The following is a 6,563-nucleotide window of genomic DNA, read 5'->3' on the forward strand; positions in this document are numbered from 1 at the left end:
GAGACTCTGTCTCAAATAAATAAATAAATAAATAAGCAAATAAATAATTGGAATATATTATTAGTTTTCTTATTGATTCGTAAAATTGCCTTATATGTTAGGAGAGTTGATACTTTGGCATCTTTGTCTTAATCTTTAGTTTATTACACTTTAAAATTTTTTGGTACAGGATCTTTATAGTTCAGGCTGTATAGTGTATGTCAGCATACAAGCAAATTCTCCCCCAATACAATACTGTTCTTTTTTGAAACTTACTTAGACTGTCTCATCTGATTATTCTACAAATGAATTTTAGATTTGCTAAATTAAAAGCCAACACACAATGCTTTTGTTCAACGCTTTCAAACAAAAGCTATAACCAACCTTTGTTGGTCAAGAGGAGACTCTTGAAAGCTGGATGAAGTTAGACACCACAGATATTCTCGAATAGAGAGAGCATAAGCTCAAAGAAATTCACTGGTGTGTATCCAGGGCCAAACAGCGAGTCCCTGACAGTCTAGAGAACGCAGTGACCTTATTCCAGCAACTCCTCTGGTGGCTCCTGCCCACCATGGCACAGGGGAAGCTTCAGTGCATGGTGGGGTGGCAGGTCCTTCTTCAAGTGGCCTTCATACCCCTGATGTCTGATTCAAGGGGCTTGTACCAAATGAAGGGATGAGTGAATGAGTGGGTGGATGAGTGACATTTGAATGGATGAATAAACAAATCAATGGATAAATAAAATTTACGGGAAAATTCTCCTTTTCTCCTTCCAATACTTGGCTCCCAGAACTCTGTTTCCTCTTGTTCTCTTGGGGGAACACACTTAGAGGTTTCTATAATTTAATTGTGTCCAAAAGGTCTGCTGGCAGCTTCAGAACATCACAGCTCCTGGCTTCAGGGTCCCTGTGCCTTAAGTCATCTCAAAGCCTTAGCACAGGGCAAGCAAGCCCACTCACTCATGGGAGTGGGGGCACTGAGATGCTCCAGGTGGGTAGAGCAGGGCTAAAACTGGATGGAAACTCTAGGTAAGGAAATGCAGACGGGCAAGGCTTCCAATTATGGAGGCATAGCAGGGGGTCAGGAGCATCCTGGATAGCACCCTGCCTGCTTCCAGGAGTTGCAGCACCCAGGAGTGGGGTCAGAACACGAGCCTGAGGCTCTTCTTAGTAAATACCCTTGTTCCTTTCATGCCACCCACGTTTCAGTCTTCTCACTCTTCCTCAGCTCCTACCACAGAAAGTGAGAATGGGAAATGAAAGGACCAGAAATAAATATTGGGCAACTTCAGACCTGGATAACCCTGTCAAGCCCAGATTCTTACACAACATTGAGATTTTATTGTACTGAACTAGGTCTGCACAGAGCAACAGCTGTGGACTTAAAAATCAGTTTTCTTTTTTCAAAAATTTCTCAAAGAATTTCATGATAAAAGATGTTACTTATCAATGGGGTTAGTGTATCATTTTAAGTAGCTAATTAAGGGGAGAAATGAGTGTGAAGGGAAGGAAATGTAAAATCAGCCGACATCAGGATTTCTTATTGACTTGATGCTGAGTCCTTCCACTCTGGGAAAATCAAAATGTATTCCTTCTGGTTCATGTTTCTCAAGCTTTAATTATTAGAATTACCTTTTTGATTTTTGCTATATTTTCACATATTGCATTGTTACTTAAACATTATACTTAAATACATTTATTTTAATTATAATAGCAATCACTTACATGGTACTATGTGCCAGGCACTCTTTTAAGCACTTTACATGCATTAAGACATTTCATCCTCATGACAACCCCATTAGATGAGATGCTACTCCATTCAATGATGGAGACGATGAGTCTCTGAGAAGTTAAGTGACTTGCCATAGTTACATACCAGAATAAAGACCTAAATAAGAATTGAAATACTATTATGGTAATAGAAGAAAATATAGGACAAAATAGAAAAACAATTGTACTTAAGGGTGAGAAAGGAGCCTTTAAACTACATTGAGCTAGTATAAGCCAAAAGACAACATTTAATGAATTTTAATTTAAATTTTATTACATCAAAAGTATTTCTATTTAATGAAGGATACCATAAACAAAGTAATATACATATAAGACAATGATAAAAGTTATTTGCAATATCTTAAAGCAATAAAAAATTAAAATCCAGAGTATGTAAATAACTCTTGATAATCAACAAGAAATAGCGGGAAACCCAATAAAAAATGGTCAAAGACACGAACAGGTAATTTATAGGAGAAACTCAAAAGCTTATAAAAAGATGTTCAAACCCATCAGTAATCAGAGAAAAGCAAAATGAAGCAACTATGAGAGTCACGTTACTTGTTCAACTAGCAAAGATTAGAGAGCAGCATAATGCCAAGTGTTGGTAAAGATGTGGGGAGAGGAACCTTTTTGCACAGTTAGTGGCTACATAGATTGAACTCATTTACATCTCCCTGTGATCTAGCATTTCCAGTCCAACTCTGTACAAGAACGTTGTAATTGTATTTGCCAGAGTGGAGAGCTGGCGGCAATCTTGGTTCCCATGCCTAGGAGAGTAAATAAGTAGAATGTGGAAGATATACTCTGTGGAGTACTGTGAAGCAGGTGAAAGAAATGGGTTGAATATTCTAAATAGCAACATAGATGATCAGGCAAGCTGGGCACGATGTTAAAAAAAGTAAGAAACATATATCATTTACCTAAATTAAAAATACTACATACAAAACAATACATATATTTTAGGACACATTAAAAAGAAAATGACACATATTAAAAAACCTTAGAATAGGACTTCTGCTTTTGGTCATGATGGAGTAACTGGTGCCAAATTTGCCTTTCCATTGTAAGCAACTATGAAACTGGACAAAGTATGAGTCAACTATTTTCAGGTATTGGGCAACAGCAAATAGAGGACTCGTATCCCTGAGAAAAGGAACATTTTCCTGTGGTAGTACAGGGAGATGGAGCCCAGGCAGAGCAGAGGGTTCACTGAGCTGAGGAGGCAGAGATTAGACCTGGGTTGCTGAAGCAGCTACAATTTTCAGGGCAGGGGACTGGAGAGAAGGCAGCTCCATAGAGAAGAGGCTCAGAAGTCTCCACAGGGATTTTCTGTTGGATCCTTGGCTGAAGGAAGGATTGCACTAGAGGAAAGTGAGACTCCTTGAGGTATAAGTGTGTGGCTACTGAGGAGCTGAGAGCTGAACAATGGGATACCGGGGTTTGCACAATGCTGAGAGAAAATTCCCAGTCAGGGTGGATAGACTTCTCTGCCACCTCTTATGAGCAAAGGCTATGCCCTACAGCAGTGGTTTTTTAATGTCAGCATGTACCAGGGTCGTCTGAAACACTTGTTAAAATACGGATTGCTGGGTCTCACCCCTGGAATTTCTGATTCAGTAGCTCTGAAGTAGGGCCTGAAAATTTGTATTTTTAATAAGTTCCCAGGTGATGCTGTTGTTGTTGAAGACCACAGCCCTAGAGTAAAGGCAAGCCCTAAAACTAAAGCCAAATCTGAAATAGACACATCCTAACAAAACATAAAACTGAGTCTGATGAGACTGAAAGGAAGCACCAATGATTTTACAACCCTGACAAAATGACACCCAGCACTTTTTAAAGGAAGATAATAGTCCAGACTCCGTACAACATATCACCTATAATGCTTGACATGCAATAAAAAAGTAATTGATGTGAAAAAGAATTATAGCCATAATTCTAAAAAAAAGTCCATAGAAACAGACCCCAAGATGACTGGGAAGTTGTAATTAGCAATTAGGGACTTTAAATCAACTATTATAATCAAGGACTTAAAGAATTAAATTGTCATAATGAATGAACAGATGTGGAATTTCAGTAGATAAATGGAAACTATGTAAAAGAACCAAATGGAAATTCTAGAACTGTTAATTACAGTATCTGAAATAAATTGGAGGGTCTTAACAACCTAGTAGAGACAATAGAAGAAAGGTCAAGAAATGAATATAAATTACTGTAAAAAATGAGTTTTAAAAGGAGATATGAAACAAAATTAAGCAGTCTAATAAAGGTATAGTACCCTTATCCATTGGTGATATGTTCTAAAACTCTCAATGGATGCCTGAAACTGCTGATAGTGCCAAATCCCAGCCAAGGAACATCAAGGTCACCTTTTCACTTAAGGAAGCACTTTCAAGTTTCTCTTTGACATATCCAGATTGCCAGCATCACTACTCTTAGGGCCATTACTAAGTTAAAAAAGGGTCACTTGAACACAAGTACTGCAATATCACAAGCGTCAACCTGATAACTGAGACAGCTAAATGGCTAAGGGGCAGGTAGCAAATAAAGTGTAGGTATATGGGACAAAGGGATGATTCATGTGCAGGCAGGATGAAGCAATACAGTGTAAGATTTCATCATGCTACTCAGAATGGCGCATAATTTAAAACTTATGAATTCCTTATTTCTGGAATTTTCAATTTAATATTTTTAGACCATGGTTGACCAGGGATAACTGAAACTGCAGCAAGCAAAACTGCAGTTAAGGGGGGACCCACTGTATAACTGGTATATATAAAGGTGAAGAGAAAGCGATAATTAAGCAGGGAAAAAAATGTATTTGAAGAAATCATGGCCCCAAATTTCTCAAATTGGGGGAAAATCAACCTAAAACTCAATGTTTCATAAACACCAAGAATAATAAACACAAATGAAGCAAAAAATGCTAAAAAAAAAAAAAAAAGGGAAAGGAATAACATTAAAGGCAGCCAGAGGGGGGAAAAAAACACATTTCGTAGGAGATAACAATGATAAGAGCAATTGCTAACTTTTTATCAGAGACAATGATGTACAGATGACAGTAGAATGATTTCTTTAAAGGACTGAGAAAAAATATTGCCAATTCAGAATGCTGTATCTGGAAAAAATATCTCTCAAAAATGAGGGTAAAATAAAGACATTTTCAAATAAGTGAAAAATACCAGATTCTTTGCCAACAGACTCATGCTCAAGATATAGTAAGAGAAGTTATTCAGGCTAAGGCAAATTGACACCAGATAGAAACTTGGATAAATATAAAAGATTACATTTTTTGTCTTGATGTCTTTTTAAAAATGAATTTGTTTAAAATAAAAATAATAACATTGTATTATGAGGTTTTCTATATATGTAAATGTAAAATACATGATAACAATACAGAGAATGAGAGGAGGTTCTTACATTTTATATGAAATGGCACGATATTAATCCTAAATAGTCTGTGATATATTAAGGATGCATACTGAAATCCCTACAGAAAATCACTACAACAATAATATAAAGAGGTATAGCTTAAAAAGTCAATAGAGGGACTGAAATAGACTACTAAACATTTTTCAAATAATCAAAAAAAATTAAGAGATAGAGAAAACAAAATACAAATAGGAAACAAAGTGTACTGTAGTAGACTTAAACTTGATAATATCAATCATTACATAAAATGTTAATAGACTAAATAATTCAAGTGAAAGGGGTTGTCAGACTGGATGAGAAAGAAGATTGAGCGCCATGCTTTCTACGAGAGATTCCCTTTATATTAAAAAACAAAACAACATATATTTAAAAATAAAAGTACTGAAAAAGATATACAGTCATGTTCTACATAATGATGTTTCAGTCAATGATGGATTGATTATACCAAGGTTGTCCCATGAGATTATAATGGAATTGAAAAATTCCTGTTGCCTGGTGACAACAGAGCTGTTGTAACATCGTAGCACAACTCATTACTCCCGTGTTTGTGGTGATGCTGTTGTAAACAAACTTACTGCACTTCAGCCACATAAAAATAGAGCACATACAATTATATACAGTACATAATACTTGATCACGATAATAAATGACTATGTTACTGGCTTATGTATTCAGTATACTGAATTTTTTATTGTTATTTTAAGATGCACTTCTTCTACTTATAAAAAGAAAATTAACTGTAAAACAGCCTCAGGCAGGTCCTTCGGGAGGAATTCCAGATGAAGACATTGTTATCATAGGAGACGCCAGCTCCATGCCTGTGATTACCCCTGAAGGCCTTCCAGTGGGAAAAGATGTAGAGATGGAAGACAGTGATAATGATGATCTTGATCCTGTGTAGGTCTAGACTAAAGTGTGTGTTTGTGTCTTGATTTTTGGCAAAAAAGTTTAAAAAGTAAAAATGTTAAAAATTTTTTAAAATAGAAAAAATCTTATGGAATAGGGATATAAAGAAAGAAAGCATTTTTGTATAGCTGTACAATGCATGTTTTAAGCTAAGTGTTATTACAAAAAAGTATAATAAAAAAGTCAAAAAGTTTAAAATTAAAAAGTTTATAAGTAAAGTTGTAGTAAGCTAAGGTTAATTTATCACTGGAGAAATTGTTTTTTATAAATTTAGTGTAGCCTAAGTGTACAGTTTATAAAGTCTACAGTAATACACAATAATGTCCTAGGCCTTCACATTCACTCACCACTCACTCAGTAACTCACCCAGAGCAGCTTCCAGTACTGCAACCTCCATTCATGGTAAGTATCCTATGCAGGTGTACCTTTTAAAAATCCTTTTTATTGTATTTTTAATGTACCTTTTCTATGCTTAGG

The 6,563-nt window shown here is 35.9% G+C and overlaps 1 annotated feature.

The window, feature by feature from the left end:
- Positions 1,100–1,319: an enhancer, noted in NCBI's record as "active region_19795". NCBI's record gives its function as "activates an Ori minimal core promoter by ATAC-STARR-seq in GM12878 lymphoblastoid cells {active_cell/tissue: GM12878}" and the evidence as "EXISTENCE:reporter gene assay evidence [ECO:0000049][PMID:35858748]".

Source organism: Homo sapiens, chromosome 3, assembly GCF_000001405.40.
Source record: "Homo sapiens chromosome 3, GRCh38.p14 Primary Assembly".
In the NCBI taxonomy this organism is placed as follows: Eukaryota; Metazoa; Chordata; class Mammalia; order Primates; family Hominidae; genus Homo; species Homo sapiens.